This window comes from Homo sapiens, chromosome 20, assembly GCF_000001405.40.
Source record: "Homo sapiens chromosome 20, GRCh38.p14 Primary Assembly".
NCBI classification, from domain to species: Eukaryota; Metazoa; Chordata; class Mammalia; order Primates; family Hominidae; genus Homo; species Homo sapiens.
In genome coordinates, this window is record NC_000020.11 from 18,778,566 (window position 1) to 18,796,547 (window position 17,982).

General features: G+C 42.7%; 2 long non-coding RNA genes and 1 pseudogene across 3 annotated transcripts, besides 1 other annotated feature; 1 reads left to right on the forward strand and 2 right to left on the reverse strand.

Moving 5' to 3' along the window:
* Positions 1-3,661: 3,661 nt before the first annotated feature.
* On the reverse strand, positions 3,662-5,125 carry EEF1A1P34 (eukaryotic translation elongation factor 1 alpha 1 pseudogene 34; annotated as a pseudogene).
* Positions 9,406-16,019, reverse strand: LINC00652 (long intergenic non-protein coding RNA 652). 2 transcript variants are annotated; one of them, NR_026883.1, is made up of 4 exons: positions 15,603-16,019; positions 15,100-15,238; positions 11,009-11,144; positions 9,406-10,272 (listed from the first exon to the last, which is right to left on the reverse strand). It is a non-coding gene; the product is annotated as a long intergenic non-protein coding RNA 652 (long non-coding RNA). The 2 variants fall into 2 exon arrangements; NR_026884.1 differs by lacking the exon at positions 15,603-16,019 and having other exon boundaries at positions 9,406-10,333; positions 15,100-15,417.
* Positions 15,160-15,699: an enhancer, noted in NCBI's record as "H3K27ac-H3K4me1 hESC enhancer chr20:18774369-18774908 (GRCh37/hg19 assembly coordinates)". NCBI's record gives its function as "activates a minimal SCP1, AML or CMV promoter by ChIP-STARR-seq in naive H9 embryonic stem cells {active_cell/tissue: H9 hESC(naive)}" and the evidence as "EXISTENCE:reporter gene assay evidence [ECO:0000049][PMID:30033119]".
* Positions 15,484-17,500, forward strand: LCDR (lysosome cell death regulator). The gene has a single exon (NR_026885.1). It is a non-coding gene; the product is annotated as a lysosome cell death regulator (long non-coding RNA).
* The last annotated feature ends 482 nt before the right edge of the window (positions 17,501-17,982 follow it).

A 17,982-nucleotide genomic window follows, 5' to 3' on the forward strand; every position in this document is an offset into this window, starting at 1 on the left:
AAGCACAGGGATAGGCTTTGCCTTCTCTGTGGTATAATAAATGGGGTAGAACCCAAGGAAATTGTTGGTGGGGGTTGCTCGGTATGTGAAGTGGGAAACTTTATGCCCCAGAGCTCAGCATTACCAGAACCAGGTCTGGCTTCCGTCCTGTGCAAGTTATTAGAGGCCTGACCCTTTCAAGCCATTTGACCTCTGCATCTCTCATATTTGTACGGCGGCTATGCCTCCCTCATTGGGTTGCTGTGAGGCTTCAAGACAATAATTTATGTGAACAGGAACAGCGAGATACCAGCTGCTTCACTGATGCTGTCACAGTGGAGGGAAGTAGGGGGCTGGAAGTGGACGACTGTGCTCGCTATGGCTGTGTTCTCTCCAAACCCTTGACTCCAGACATGTGTTTCACTAGCTGTGGGCTGAGGGCAGATCAGGAGTGAGAGAGCATGAGAGGGGCCTGCTGGGACTCCCTGGCCTTGCAACTCTATTCAGTTTTTGGTTTTCTTTCTGGCACACATTGATGCAAGTGTTGCTGCTCAACAAGGAAACAGAAATACCTCGTGGATAACTGACGGCAAATAATGTTCTCCTCACATTTCTTACTACCTCCTGAAGAGGGCTGCTTCTGTATGAGGACATGGAAAGAGGAAGCCCTCCCTGCCCAGAGGTGGATCCCAGAGGGAGCCAAGCAGTGGCTGTGCTTTGATTGGAGAGTGACGACCCTGTGCATAATCATTGATCCCCCCAACTCCGGCACCCATTTGGCTCCACCTAGAGTGGGGTCAATTTCCTTACACAGGCTGCTTCAGATGCCCCTCTTTCCCCAAGATGATGATCACCCATTTTAGCAAACTCACCACTCTGAAAATCAGTCCTTATTAACAAGAATAACAGACTGTATTTTGGCATTTTGGGGTCAACAATATGGAAGAGAGTAAAAATATGGAGAAAAATCTCTGGATATCCAGGAATGTAGGATTACAAACTGCTATGATAAATGACTTAAAAGATTACTTTAAAGCTTTTTATTTGAAAACAATTTCAAACTTGCAGAAAAGTTTCAAGAATAGTACAAAATATATCCTGTGTACTTTATTCAGATTTGCCTATTGCTAACATTTTCCTACATTTATTATTTCTTTCCACCCCCTTTGCATATATACATTTTTTCCTGAACCCATTCAAGGATAAATTACCTTCATACTTGAGAGTAATTTACACATCTCATGGTTACTTACCCCTAAATACCTTAATGTGTATTTCCTAAGATTAGGGACCTCCTTTTACTTAACTATTGCATGATTGTCAACTTCAGGAAGTTTCATGTTCTTTAATTTATTGTCTGTAAGGTGTGTAAGAACAGTAAAATGTGTGTTTCTTTTTTTTTAGTAAAAGGGTATATGAAGGCATGGAAATGTAAACTTTTGCTGAGGGTTAAAGGATTGTTTTAAGTTAGATAAGGAAAGCTGAAGGTTCAAAAAAGTGGTGGAAAAATTGTGAAAATTAATCTTACAGAAGAGGTTCTCTGTGTGAACATGTTGACTAAATTCAAAAGGGTTATAAGGTTTTTGCTTCTTTAAAATTTCTGAGTCGTGATTTTGGCAAAATAAATAACTTGTGGTAATCTGTAATTCCCAAAATCAAACTTCATTTTCAAAATTGTCTTCCCTGGCACCTGGCTTTTCAAATACTTCAGAAGGCCCCCGAAATGTCCAGAAAAGAGAGGTAAACAGGATTATTTGACATGTTCAGGTACATGGGATTGCCAAAATGATGCTCAATCTTCTTTAGGTTACATTTTTGTGAATAATACTAATATATATTCTGAAATTTTATAGGATTTCTAAAATTCTAATGTCTAAGTATATGTTACCAATTACAATTATAGTTAAGTTATTGTAAACCACAGAAATAACTAAAAGGCATACGCCGTATATGACTTTGTAACTTTACTTCATCCTCTTCATTTACATAGGGTGTGCCCCAAGTAGAGGGTAGTTAAACTCACGAAAACTCTGTAACAGGGCCTTTGAGCTCCTACGCTCAGGCCTGCTCCCACACTGTGGAGTGTACTTTCATTTTCAATAAAACCCTTCATTCCTTCCTTGCTTTGTTTGTGAGTTGTGTCCAATTCTTTGTTCAAGAAGCCAAGAACCTGGACATCCTCCATCATTAACATATTGACTATTTCTTGCAGCTGGAGTCCATTTCCACTCCAGTTTGCCCTCTGCACACGCATATACACACCCCGGCCCTGCACATGATGCTGCTGCCACTGCTGCCACTCCTACCAGTGTTTCATAGCTGCTGTGTCTTGTGCTCCGTTTCTTTCCTCATCAATTGATTGTCTAACTTAGTGGCTTAAAATACAACCATTAATTATTTCTCACATTTCTGTGGGTTGGCAATCTTGGTAGTTTTTCTGCTGGTCTCATCTGGGTATACACACATGACTGTTGTCATCTTATGATTAAGCTGGGCTGAAGAGTCCAAGATGCCCTCACTCACACATCTGGCTGTTGGCGGGATGCCTCAGTTCTCTAAATGGCCGCTAATCATCCAGGAGGCCAGCATGGGCTTCCTCACAGCATGGCAGTCTCAGGTTTCCAAGAAGTTGAAGATGGAAGCTACAAGGTCTCTTAAGGCCTAGACTCATGAAACCACACACATCACTTCCATGATATTTTATTGGTTAAAATAATAGACAAAGCCAGCCCATATGCAAGGAGGTACAGAAATAAACTCCAAGGGTGAAGTCTTGATGGGAGGGAGAGCAATGCAATATTGTAAATGGGCATGGACTCATCAGGGGCCATTATTATAATGATCTACCGTACCCCATGATCTGGTGAGCAAGAATTAACCAAAACATGCCCCAATAGGAAAAAAGCAAGCCTCTCTCAACTACAGCACTGGCATGTCAGCTAGTGATCTTTGGTGGCAAACAACAGAAATAGACTGTAGCCAACTTAAACAGAACAGCCTTCCATGAGAAGGGCGTCAGAAAGCTCACAGGCTTGGTGGAGGAGTTTTGCAATGAGACCTCAAAAGCATCAGGAACAGGGCAGCTCTGGGGGTGGGGAGCAGTCTCTGAAGCAGGGATTGATGGACAGCCATTTGAGGGGACTACCATGGGAACGACTTTATTTTTGCTGACATTTTTTTTTTTGGTCTTTTTGTCATTTGGCTCAAGATTCAGATTTCTTGGGGAGCACTGGCCTGACTTGGGACATGTTTCCAGGGCTTCGGTGGGTAAGTGGGCAGGAAACTTGATTGATAGGACCATGTGGGGTGGGGAGAAGGGAGCACCCCAAAGGAGAAGATAGGCACTGTGGCAAAAAGTGGAGGAGGTGCTAGGCAGGCAACAATGCCCACTGTCTCCTGATGTCCAGCCTGTTCCTGGGGGTGCTCACTTGGATCTCTGGGGTCTGATAGTGATTTAGGAGCGATCACCTAAATCTAACTCAATGCCTCTGCTTTCACCCGATGAATGAAAACAATCATTAAAAAACATTTTTCCCTCCTACATGCAAATGTAATTTTAGGTTAATTTTGTCACACTGGACCTTTTTTTTCTCATTAAACATTGTTTTCATGGGTCTTAAAATCCTGTGACCAATGTTTGGTCAAATAGATTCTGATTAATAAGTACCGATTTTAAAAACTAATAACTTCAAAAAACTGTCACACACACAAAAAAACAAATGGTCCACAAAACATTCTCCTTTCCTTCTGGATGTTTTATGATGCATTTATTGTTAACCAGTCTTTTACTATTAACTTAAATGTCCACTTGAAACAAACAGTTCTGAGACTTTTTCCACCACTGATTAAGACTCGGGTGGCATGTATTAGGGCTAATATTCATTTGGCCTTCTGAGATTTCTGGGCAGACTTGGTGGCCTTGCCAGCTCCTGCAGGCTTCTTGTCCACTGCTTTAATGACGTCCACAGCAACTGTCTGTATCACATCATCAACAGCAAAGGGACCCAGAAGAAAACGGTCAGAGAAGCTCTCTACACACAGAACCATATCAACAATGGCGGCATCACCCGATTTGAAGAATTTGGGTTCATCTTCCACCTTCTCACCAGAATGGTGACCAATCTTCTCCATCAGCTCAGCAAACTTGCAAGCAATAAGAGCCATGTGACAATCCAGCACAGTGGCACAGCCAGTATTGATTTGGCCTTGATGGTTCAGGGTAATCACCTGAGCAGTGAAGCCAGCTGCTTCCATTGATGGGTCATTTGTGCTGTCACCAACCAGGTTGCCACAATAAGCATATTTGACAGACATGTTGTTGACATTGAAGCCCACTGTGTCCCCAGGAAGAGCTTCACTCAAAGCTTAATAGTGCATTTCAGCAGACTTCAGTTGTGATGTTGACTTGAGCAAAGGTGCAGTATCCACGCTAGGCTTGAGAGCACCAGTCTCCATTTGGCCCACAGGGGCAGTATTGATACCACCAATATTGTGGACATCCTTGAAGGGCAGACAAAAGGGCTTGTTAGTTGGACAAGTTGATGGTAGAATGCAATCCAGAGTTTCCAGCAGTATGGTTCCACAGGCATGGCCATTTTTACAGGTGACTTTCCATTCCTTGAGCCAAGGCATGTGAGCACCTGGGTGCAGCCTTCTGTCACCATTGCCACTGATAATTGGCCCAAATGCTTCTGTGTCTGGGCTGTAGGCAATTTCTTAATGTAGGTGCTGACTTCCTTAATAAATTCCTCATATCTCTTCTGGCGTTAAGGTGGCTCAGTGAATCCATTTTCTTAACACCAACAATTATTTGTTTCACACTCAGTGTGAGCCAGAAGGGTGTGCTCCTGGGTCTGCCCATCTTGGAGATAACAGGTTTAGATTCATCAATGGAGGCAACAGTCAGGACAGGATAGACAGCCCCAGATGTTCCCGTAATCATGTTTCTGGTAAAGACTCAGTGTCCTGGGGCATCAGTGATGATCACACAACATTTGCAGGTCTCCAGTTCCCACAGGGAGAGGTGAATGGTGATGCAACACTCACTCTCAGCCCTCAGTTTATGCAAGACCCAGGCTCACTTGAAGGAACCCTTTCCCGTCTGAGCAGCCACCTTCTCAAATTCTCTAAATGCCTCTTTGTCGATCTGCTTAAACTAGAGTCTGTTGTCTGCAACTAAGAACTCTGCCTGATATACACATCACACACACCCCCGCTGCCGAGCTGTAAATGTTAAACAATAGGCTCTCTGTGGAAAAAAATGCCCTGTGCCATTTTGCACTCCCACCAGCAGTATAGGAGAGTTCAGGCTGCTTTGTGTTCTTGCCAGCATCTGTTTGCCAGCATGTTATTGATGTTGGTAAAAGAAACAATGTAATTAAAAAAAAGTTCCAATATCATAGTGTGATTTTGGGTTGTGGGGCAAAATATTAACACACCTTTCTATTCCTCTGTCACTGTTTTTACTATTAAAGAAAAGCACACTTATTTCAGCCTAATACCTCCCATTTGTTGACCCATATAGTCACAAATGGAGAATTTGAGGAAGTCTACCCCTTGAAATATTGTTTCATTGAAACCAGAGAAATGTTTGAAAATGTATAGACACAGCTTCTCTAATTGTTCCTGTGCTCTCTGCAGCGGCATGAGCACATGGTGGGCACAGCTGTCCCACCACTGGTCCAGGGTAAATCACTTTATCTCCCTGGGTTGTCCTACGAATGGGAAAGAGATTATGAATAAAGTGAATCAGGTATAGCAGTTCAACTTCAGGATCAGTCTGTAATTTAAGGTCATTTTCATGTTGGATTAGGAAGCATATTCAAAGACAAGAGGCTTATGGTTAGTAGCTAATTAACGGCCTTGATGGAATTCTTAACAATTCAGGATATTGTGCTGATTTGAAGCCGTTGCCAGCTCCCTCTGTTAATAAGCTGTGCTCTGTTCCCCCTCATCTCTGACTCCCAGAGTCTGCTGCAGAGCTAGATAAGGATTTCAGCCTGCATGCCCATCAGGGCCCAACTTGCTGGGGGCTGGAATCTGACCTCAGGATCCTCAACTTCAGTTTTTCATCTACAGGGAATTTTTCTTGTCTTACCTTCCAAGGCAATGTTCTCAGCACATGATACTTGACATCCAGAGAAATCCTTGTTATCAGTGTCAGAGTCTTTTAATAAGAGACTGGGCCCAATTTGTGCTCACTGGTGTGTGAGAAGAAGACCGAGAGCGAGGTGGGTGAAGGGGAGGCAGCAGAGCAGTGGTGAGCTCACGCATTCCAAAGAACCAAATAAATGATTCTGGATAATCTGCCATTTCAGTATTGCCTTTTCTCCCCTCTTTAGTGCAGATGGCATGGGACTGTACTAGATCAGGTGGTGAGAGGAGGACAAGCACCTACTGAACTGCTCAGGCTGAAACATCTCATCCCCTCTGCCTCTTTAAAAGTAAACGTAGGAATTGCATTCACTCTATTGTAATCCAATTTTGAAGCTTCTAGAAATAGGAATTTTGTTGCCAGGCCTCAGTAGAAGTAATTCCCTTCCCTAACAATCACGAAGGAATTAAAACAGCATGCAATGGGGCTGGTGAAGTGTGTCCTTGTAAAATATTAGACTTGGCTTGTTGTCTGGTTTTAACTAATATGCCAAACTATAGGTGTGGATATAACTTATTTCTGGATTCCATGATGGTTATTTTATTGGATGTTTTCTCATTTGTGTATCTGAATTCTGAAGTGACAGAGACCCAATTTCCCTTTGATTCTCCTCCCCACCCAAGGTTTGACCCAGTGTATCAGTTAGCTTCTGCTATGTAATGAACCACTCCAAAAGTCAGTGGCTTAGAATGACATACATTTTTTTAAATGGACTGTACTTTTTAGAGAAGTTTTAAGTTCATGGAAAAATAGTGCAGAAAGTAAAAAGAGCTCTTACACATCCTCTGCCCCCACACATCTGCAGTTTCCCTGACTAACATTCCAACACCAGAGTGATACATTTGTTACGATTGATAAACCTACATTGATACACCAAGATCAACCAAAATCTACAGTTTACCATAGCGTTCACTCTTGGTGTCCTATATTCTATGTGGTTGGGGCAAATGTACGATGACTTGTGTTCACCATTACAGTATCATGTAGATTGGTTCACTGCCCTAAAAATCCTCTGCTCTGCCTATTTATCCTTCCCTCCTCCTAACCCCTGATAACCACTGATTACCACTGATCATTTTACTGTCCCCCAATTTTGCCTTTTCTAGAATATCATATATTTGGTATCCTACAGTATGTAGCCTTTTCAGACTGGCTTATTTCACTTAGTAATATGCAGCTAAGTTTCTTCTATGGCTCGATAGCTCACTTTTTTTTAAGCATTGAATATTCCATTATCTGGATGTACCATGATTTATCCACATACTGAAGGACATCTTGGTTGCTTCCAGTTTTGGCAATTATGAATAAAGCTGTATTAGCCCATTTTCATGTTGCTGATAAAGACATACCCAAGACTGGGCAATTTACAAAAGAAAGGTTTAATTGGACTTACAGTTCCACATGGCTGGAGAGGGTTCACAATCATGGTGGAAGGCAGGAGGAGCAAGTCACATCTTACGTGAATGGTGGCAGGCAAAACAAAAGAGCTTGTACAGAGAAACTCCCGTTTTTTAAAATCATCAGATCTCATGAGACCCATTCACTATCATGAGAACAGCATAGGAAAGACCCATCCCCATGATTCAGTCATTTCCTACCAGGTCCCTCCCACATGTGAGAATTATGGGAGCTACAAGATGAGATTTGGGTAGGGACACAGAGCCAAACCATATCATTCCACCCCTGGCCCCTCCCAGTCTCATATCTTCACATTTCAAAACCAGTCATGCCTTCCCAACAGTCCCCCAAAGTCTCAACTCATTTCATCATTAACTCAAAAGTCCACAGTCCAACATCTTCTGTGAGACAAGGCAAGTCCCTTTCACCTGTGAGTCTGTAAAATCAAAAGCAAGTTAGTTATTTCCTAGATACAGTGGGGGTACAGCCATTGGGTAAATACAGTCATTCCAAATGGGAGAAATTGGCCAAAACAAAGGGGTTACAGGCCCCATGCAAGTCCGAAATCCAGCAAGGCAGTCAAATCTTAAAGTTCCAAAATGATCTCCTTTGACTCCATCTCTCACATCTAGGCCATGCTGATGTATGAGGTGGGTTCCCATGGTTTTGGGTAGCTTTGCTCCTGTACCACAGGGTACAGCCTCCCTCGTGGTTGCTTTCATGGGCTGGCGTTGAGTGTCTGCAGCTTTTCCAGGTGCACGGTGCAAGTTGTTGGTGGATCTACCATTCTGGAATCTGGAGGATGGTGGCCTTCTTCTCACAGTTCCAATAGGCAGTGCCCCAGTGGGGACTCTGTGTGGGGGCCCCACATTTCCCTTCCACACTGGCCTAGCAGGGGTTCCCATGGGTGCCCCACTCTGCAGCAGACTCCTGACTGGACATCCAGGCATTTCCATACCTCCTCTGAAACCTAGGTGGAGGTTCCCAAACCTCAATCCTTGACTTCTGTGCACTCCCAGGTTCAACACCATGTGGAAGCTGCCAAGGCTTGGGGCTTGCACCCTCTGAAGCCATGGCTGGAGCGGCTGAGAGGTAGGGCACCAAGTCCCTAGGCTGCACACAGAATGGGAACCCTGGGCCTTTGGAAACCATTTTTTCCCCCTAGGTCTCTGGGCCTTTGATGGAAGAGGCTGCTGTGAAGACCTCTGACATGCCCTGGAGACATTTTCTCCATTGTCTTGGGGATTAACATTTGGCTCCTCGTTATTAGGTAAATTTCTGCAGCTGGCTTGAATTTCTCTTCAGAAAATGGGATTTTATTTTCTATTGCATTGCCAGACTGCAAATTTCCCAAACTTTTATGTTCTGTTTCCCTTTTGAAACTGAGTGCCTTTAACAGCACCCAAGTCACCTCACGAATGCATTACTGCTTAGAAATTTCCTCCGCCAGATACCCTAAATCATCTCTCTCAAGTTTAAAGTTCCACAAGTCTCTAGGGCAGGGGCAAAATGCTGCCAGTCTCTTTTCTAAAGCATAACAAGAGTCATCTTTTCTCCATTTCCCAACAAGTTCCTCATCTCCCTCTGAGACCACCTCAGCCTGGTCCTTATTGTTCATTCACCTTATTGTTCATTCATATCACCATCAGCATTTTTGTCAAAGCCATTCAACAGGTCTCTAGGAAGTTCCAAACTTTCCCACATTTTTCTGTCTTCTTCTGAGCCCTCCAAACTGTTCCATCCTCTGCCTGTTACCCAGTTCCAAAGTTACTTCCACATTTTTGATGATATTTTCAGCAACATCCCACTCTACTGGTACCAATTTACTGTATTAGTCCACATTTACTCTGCTGATAAAGACATATCCAAGACTGGGCAATTTACAAAAGAAAGAGATTTAATTGGATTTACAGTTCCACATGGCTGGGGAGGCCTCACAATCATGGCAGAAGGCAAGGAGGAGCAAGTCACATCTTATGTGGATGGCAGCAGGCAAAATAAAAGAGCTTGTGCAGATAAATTCCTGTTATTTAAAACCATCAGATCTTGTGAGACCCACTCACTATCACAAGAACAAGACAGGAAAGACCTGCCCCTATGATTCAATCACCTCCCACCTGGTCCCTCCCACAACATGTGGGAATTATGGGAGCTATGCAGTCTATGCATGTCTATGCATGCTAACAAAATTACTCTTGTACCCCATAAATTTATACAAATACAAGATGAGATTTCTGTGGGGACACAGAGCCAAACCATATCAAAAACTGCTGTGAATATCCATGTGCAGGTTTTTGTGTGTACATAAGTTTTCAACTTTTTTGGGTAAGTGCTAAGGAGCAAAACTTCTGGATCATATAATAATAGCATATTTAGTGTTGTAAGAAACAGCCAAAGTAGCTGTTTTCCAAAGTAGCTGCACTATTTTGCATTTCCATCTTCAGTGAGTGAGAGTTCCTGTTGCTCCACATCCTCACCAGCATTTGTTGTTGTCAGTGTCTTCGATTTCTGCCATTCTAATAGATGCATAGTGGCAACACTCATTTTTTACTTTTTAAGATTCTGTTGGTTGTTCAGGTGGCCCTTCTCATCTGAACTTCTCAGGCGGGATGCCATGGTCTTGGATGATCTTAATTCTATTACTGGGGCTTTGGCTGGAACGATTGTGGCCTCATTCCATGTGATCTCTCATCCTCCAGCAGGCTAGACCAGGCTTCTTCACATGATGGTGGAAGGGTTCCCTGTAGCAAGAGGGTATGTCCAAGTAGAAAGCATTTTTCAAGCTGCTGTTTGGCTTGTTTGCTACATGAAAAAAAATGCAAGTCACACATCTAGGCCTAAATTGAAGAGATAGAGAAGAGGTGGATTCTATTTCTTCATGGAAGGATTTGCTCTATTTTCCCCTTCTATAGCAATTGGCGACTGTGATGTCTAACTCAGCACAGAGATAACCTCTGACATTACATCCAGTCACTCTAAATCCCCATCTAAGGGGGCACCCATAACATTAGAGATTACTTGGTGGGTACAATGTATGTTATTTGAGTGATGGGTACACTGACAACCCTGACTTCACCACTATGCAGTCTATGCATGTAACAAAATTACACTTGTACCCTGTAAATTTATACAAATACAAATTAAAATAGACAAATAAAAACAGCTTCTTTAGTTAATACAGGGAAATATTATAGAAAGGAGATTAATTAATTCTGCTTTTCTAATTATTCAGTTGGTCTTGTTCCTAGGAGGCAGTCATCATCCCCTAAAACCCCAGCTGTAGGAGCTCATAATCTTTGGTCTTAATGTTCTATAAAATAAAAGCAATACATTTACTCTTGCCTGCATTTCTTAACTGCTAAACAAGAAGCTTTTGAGGTTTAAGGGCTTACAATTAATTGTACTTCTTTGCCTTCCATCTTTAGAATCAGTTGAGAAACAGATACAAGCAATGGGAATTAAACATCAAAATGATACCTCTATCGCTGACAGCATTGGTCCAGAGAAAGCAGCTTGGGGTACAGCCAGACAGGGCTCCTGCTTCTTCCCATAAGGACAGACTTGGGATGCTCCATGGGAGAGGAGCCTGGGTCTGCAGAGCAGGTCCACTGGCCTGGCCAGAAAAAAAGAAAGTTGTTGCTTCTCACCTTCCAGATTATGGCAGTCAAGACAGAGGGATCAGGGAAGGGCTCAGGAACAGGGAGAAAAGAGGCCATCAGGCTGTGTGTGAGTATGGCTCCTTCTCCCACCTCTTCACCAGTCAGCTACAGCCCTGCCCTTTCCAGGGGAGGAGTGAGGAGTGAAAGGATGAAAAAATTAAGTGGAAGTTTTTTCCAAATACTTTCTATTTTGACTTTCGGGGCAATTTTTCTATATGCATATTGTGTTAACTTCTTGTTGAAGGAAAATACACAGAGGAGAGCACTCAACATGAGCAGACAACTCAGCACATTTTCGCAAATGGCAGACACTTGTGTAACCAGCACCCGGAATAACAACTGAGGCATTACCAGCCCCCTAGAAGCTGTATGGGTTCTTTTTGTGTCTGACTTCTTTTGCTCAAAATGATGATTGTGAGGTTCACCCATGTTGTGTGTAGATGTGACCGGTTAATTCTCGTTGCTGTATAGTATTCCACTCTGTGAATACATTGCAATTTACCCATTCTACTGTTGACGGGTAAACTGCATCAACAGTAGAGTGGAATGCTCTGTGAATACATCTAGAAACCATGTCTAGTTTCTAGATTTGACTGATTAAAACATTCTGATATGTGTCTTTTGTGAAAATATGCAGGTATTTCTGTTAGGCATATCCCTAGAACTATCCTTTAGAACCCAGAAGTTCCACTTATAGAGATACATGCACAAAAGATGCTTAGCAATTTTAGATACTAAAAACCGTTTTCCAAAGTGGAACCGTGTTGTACTCCCACTGGCAGCATTATGAGAATTCCAGATGCCCACCTCCTTGTCTCCCAATATTTTGAAAAGGGAAGAAGTTCTTGTTCTATAGATAAGTAAAATACCGAGAGAGAGAGAGAGAGAGAGAGAGAGAGAGAGAGAGAGAGAGAATAAGTCCCCCATAATAGAAAAAGGAAGAATTTTCCGAATAATTTTTAAAAAGAATTTTAAAAAATGCATCAATCCATCTTATTTTTTGATACAGTTCAAAATAAGTTGCAGACAATTATTAATAACAGACGGGGACTTTTTAGGTGCAATACCTCCTTACAAGCAGAAGAGTGATTCATGATCTAACTTTAGAAACTTGAGATGCTCTCAAAATCTCATCCAGCTCCGTGGAGGAAGGATTCTGCAGACAAGATGTTCCCTCCACAGAAATTGTGATAAAGCACCAATTAGTGACTACAGCAAAGAAGTGGGAGTGTTTAACCTTTTGGGTGCACCAACAATGTGCTCCTTAATTTGAAAATAGGGTACAAAGTGTTAGCAAGTGAAGAAGAGTAATCGTTCATCACTCAACTTGACATATCTCCTTTGCAGCAGAGGCAGGAGAAGGGATCCTCTCTGCTCCATTTATTTTGGCTTTCATCTAACTTCTCTGAGAAAGGACCAGATGCTCTAATGAGGGGTACCAGACACTGAAAATATCTGGAGATCAGGATAAAACACGCTGACAGCTTTCCCCTTGAGAAGCCTACCTTCCCTCCAAGCTCCTTAGAGCATTTTATATGCATTACCCAGCAGCAAGTCTTATTATCCTTTTTTTGCAAATGGTAGAAAAGTGATGCAGGGAGGCTGAGCTGAAAAAGCTCACTTGAGGATACCAGGGAAGCCAAATGTTCAGCTCAAAATAGAAACCGAGAACTCTGGGAAACTCAGACAGCATGAGAAGGTCCTTTCATCTCTGGACCCTTCTGTATCTTTTTAGACAATAAGCCTTTCCCTGAAAGAATTTTTCCCCCTAATGACAGGGCTGCCAACTCTCCCTCCAGGATGTTGTAAAAAGGTGACATTTAACTGAGGAAATGGAAACTCTAATTGACTTCTCCTAAAGCAGAAAAATAAGTGGCCTGTATTCCTTCTCTTGGCCAGATGTTTGTAATTGTCCCCTTGGGATTCTACCTTGGGGGAAGCTGAAAGAGGCAAAACAAAATTGTCCACTTGAATTGGTCTACTTACACCCACAAGAATTGTTTTTACTTCGTGGTGGAAGATGTGGAGAGCCCATCCAAGAAGACAGCAATTTCAGGAAGAGGATTCCAGCTCATGTCACTAGCTGCCAGCCCCAGAATCTCTTGCAGTGATAAATAAGGAGCTTGAGGTGAACACTCCATTTTTAGATCTGGATATTTGGAGGCCTGTGCTTATTTGAACCAGTTGTGTTCCTTGCTTTGGATAAAGGAATTTTAGCAGAGATGATGTGAGCAAAATCTTGAAATGTGCTTGTGTAGGATGTCTTGCCCTCTTGTGTTGCAGTCATCATCATGAGAAGAACATGCCCCAGGGAGTCTGTGGGTCCAAGAAGGATGGACCAGCTGAGCTCAGCCTACATGGGCCAACCACTAGCCACTCTGAAAACATGTAATCAAGAAATAATTGTTTACTATTGTGAGCCACTCAGATCACCACTGAGTTTTGTGGTGGTCTGTTATGCAGCACATTATGTTATAATGGACAAATATAGGGCTATTAAGAGTAGAATAAGTAGAGGAGGATTCTTAGCGTGCTGTGGACAATGCTTGCAAAAGTGCTTGGCTTAGGGTAGTCACATAGCAAGCACCTAGTAACTATGAGAGAAATGGAGCTCATCAGGTTGATTGTATATCATATAATTTAAAGGTTAGAGTGAATCACATTAAATATTCTGAATGTCTGGACTGTCTGTTGATATCTTCCTATTAACTGACAGTAACTTTTCTCTCTCTTTTTTTTTTTGAGACGGAGTCTCGCTCTGTCGCCCAGGCTGGAGTGCAGTGGCCTGATCTCAGCTCACTGCAAGCTCCGCCTCCCAGGTTCACGCCATTCTCCTGCCTCAGCCTCCCAAGTAGCTGGGACCACAGGTGCCCGCCACCGTGCCCAGCTAATTTTTTGTATTTTTTCTTTTTTTTTAGTAGAGACGGGGTTTCACCGTGTTAGCCAGGATGGTCTCGTTCTCCTGACCTCCTGATCCGCCCACCTTGGCCTTCCAAAGTGCTGGGATTACAGGCATGAGCCACTGTGCCCGGCCACTTTTCTCTCTTTTTTTGTATCCTTTTCCCATGACTTCTTTACTATCTCTTCCCCAATCAGTATTTCGGTATCTATCTATGACTATCTATCTATGACATCCATCTGTCTATGACTCAGACCTGGGCTGAACTATATACTCGCCACATAGATTCTGCAATTAATATTCTGCTGTATTTGTTTTATGTATATGTCTACCTACGCTTGTATACATCCATCAATCCATCTTATTTTTTGATGCTTTTCAAATAAGTGGCAGACATCAGTGCTCTTCACCCCTATGGTGAATTTTGACAAATGCATACACTCATTATCCCTGAAGGTGTCCTTAGGCCCCTTTCCAGTTAAGTCTACCCCCAACTCCCAAGGTGAACTCTATTCTGATTTTTTTCCCACCATAGATTAGTTTTGCCTGTTTTAGAACTTCATATAAATGAAATTGTACATGGTGTAATCTTTTGTGTCCAGCTTCTTTCATTAGCAAAATATTTTCAAGTACCTGTGTTGTTATAAGGGTCCTCATTTTAAAACGAATAATTTGACAAGATCTTTGCAAACTGATCTTTACTTTAAAATTTTGGACTTCTCTGATGTGTATGTAAATACAGTAACCACCTTTAAATTAAATAGCCTAAATACAGTAACCACTTGAACTAAGCCTCTGAAACAGACATCTCTCCCATGTGTCTGTCAGACCTTGTCTTTCTGTTTTCATGCTCCCCACATCCCCCTACCTTGTTTAGCATTGATAAACATTTCAAAACTGCAGAGGGAATTTATCATATTTGTCTCAAGGGCACAGCGCTTTTGATTTACTGTGTTCAGTAAGATGCAGGGGGCTAACCAACCTCTTAGGATTAACTGCATTTGACTTACCTTCAAAAGGTCATCAGCAGTACATCCTTAGTAGGCCTCACAATAGTGTGTCCACAATACGGGTTAGTGGGAGTGATTGAAAGGCTTGGAGAGTTGTCCTTCTGGGTTTGCTCTGGTTGGGCGATCAGAGTCCATAGCACTGGGTGGGAAAACATGAAAGAAAATAAGTGAAAGTGACATGTTCCTCCAGAATAGCTAAAGGTCAGCGCTCACCCCATTCAACCACTGTATTCCCTAGACTTAGCATGAGGCGGTTTCTAAAAATCAAAGCCACACTTAGCGTGGTAATGTGGCTTTGTACCATGTCAACCTAGCTAAGCGGGAACTACGTTTCCCAGAATTCCTTGCCTGTAGGTTTCCGGGGTTAGCACACGCCACGTGACCTGATGCGGGCTTCGTGAGGCGGAAGTGACGCAGTGTTGTCGTCTCGTAGGCTTGAAAGGTAGGTGCCCGACATTAGGGACTGTCGCAGCCCGGGGAATTGTCCCCATCTGCTGGCTTACCTTGTGGGCGTGGATCCCCTCTAACTTTCCTAATTCCCGGGCGGCCCGCGGGCCTGCGGCAGATTCAGCTCTCAGGACTCCACTTTCAGTTTCTTCCACTTCTGGGGCAGGCTGCTTGTCCTGCCACTCTCAGGCCCCCCACCAGACACGGCAGCAACAGCTGTTCCTAAGTGTTCAACTCGCTCCTTCCCGCAAATGTAGAAGCTCAAATCCCTATAGCAAATTCCATATTCTATGTCATTCTTAATGCTTCCGTCTCTCTGGTTGAATCTAGATTGGATACAATCAGTGATGCACATTTACCAGACAGAGGATGTGCAGCGTTTACTGTTGATTTCTCTCTTTTCCTCCCTATCACCTCAGTTTAGTTCCAGGATCCACACTCCTCCACCATAGTCAGGAGATTCAGGGAAAGTTGGCAGGGTTCAGCTTTCAAGTTGACCCTTGATGAACCATGGTCAATCCTGTTAAGAGGCGTGAAAGCCAATCCCAGCCAATGAGACTGGGGAGAAATCACTGAAGAACTTGTGGAAAACAGACCCTCTGGATAAAAGACACGTGTGGGGAAAAAGGGGCTTTTTAATGTTATTCTGGATGTTTCCCAAAAGTACTGCTGCTGCCTTGCCTCCCTGACAGACACTGGCCTTAGGATGACATGCGGCAGGAAGGAAGGACGGATCTGGGGTTTTTCAAGACTCACTGAGATGCACAAGGAACCAACCCTCAAGTAGCCAACTCGTTCCTGTTTGCATGTGTCGACTGAAAAGAATCAAAATAAACAAAATATAACTATTTCTAAGAGGTTACAACTTGCAGGCAGGAAGCAGGCCTCTACCTGAGGCCATAAAGCATACTTTGAAGGAGAAAAGGTAGGTATTTATGCTAGGTGGAGAGGTAGGATATACGTATTCTGTAGCATACAGGAGAAGCCTATGAAAATTCATGGAGGAAACTCGTTAGAGACACGCACTGGGCTTACATATGAAGAATATCCAAAAGCGGATGACCTGTGTTCACTCTGGGGTGAAGATTTAACATTTAAATGTATTATAATTAGGCTGTAAATGCAAAAAGGTGAAACATAGGGCACAAGTTCACGATCTGTGCAATCTCCAGAGACCAGTCTGATCTAGCCTGCAGCTGGCAGTCATCTGTCAAGAAGGGGCTCTTTGTAGCCCAGAGTAGCTGTCAGGTTGGAACCATAAAACCAAAAGGAGGGCATCGGCGGTTAGGTGAAGAAAAGAAGTCTTTTGGCCTTTTTTCCTCTTCAAGTCAGCTTTTGATAAGATCTAGTAATAATAAGGGGATGGGTGTGGCTGCAGGTGGGACATGTCGGTTCTCTGTCCTGTCACAGCTAAGAACTAAGAACTTTAGAGTCTTTCAGCCATAGAGGGTCCTGTCATCCATTGAAGGGATCAGTCCATTGGGATTTTGCCAGTTTTAGCATTGATGCTGTGTCCTGGGAAACCCCTGAATACTTATCATAGCAGAAGTTCAGCCACTGTAGCCCTACCTCAGGACCGCTTTTATGGGAAAGAATAATTCCTTTAACTGCTTGAGCCATTTGAGTTGTGGCTGCTTTTGGTACTTGTAATAAATTGAAAGCATCTTGAATGTTCTGGGACAGTAAAAGAATGTGCCTTTGTTTCTGACAGCAATTATAAAATCAATTATATGTTTATATTCTAAAAAATGTTTTGAGTAATGCTGACATCATTGGAAAAGTGCATCACTTAGAAAATGTATCTGTGTGTCAATTTTGTTTGTTCAAAATCAGTTTCATTAATTTGTGGGAAGATACACCTTGTACATTTTACCTAATTAAAAAAAATATTGCCAGTTGAGTATACTTGTGATATATTCAAAGATAAATAAACTTTTTCAATTTTAGATATTCATATGTCTTTGGGCCTTTGTTTAGTTTTGTCCTAAAATAGGAATGCTTTTATATGGGCCAGATTCCTGCAGTGATGATATCTGGGAAGGAAGGGAGGGCATGATCTTTGTTCTATGTGTTTAAAAGTCTCAAATGAGTTACTGGGATGTAAAAAATATATTCGCACATGAGTTTGGTACAGTTCGGTGATTTTTTTTTTTTTTTTTGAAAGAAAGAAAGGTTTCCAAGGCTTGACACTGTCCTGTGGGTGTGGTCAATTAATTGCATTATTGGTCCCGACTCTTTACACCTACCCTTTGCCATGTAGCCTGGTAGTGGCCTCTCACTATGACACTAGGATTTCCCATGTGATGTTCTTTGGCCAATAGGTGCAAGCAAAGGTTTGAAGAGCACTGGGGAGTTGGGATTGTTTGCTCATATCTCTGCTTTCATGATGACAGTGTGCCTTGGTTAGCCTGGGGAGAATGAGTGTCACATGGTCCA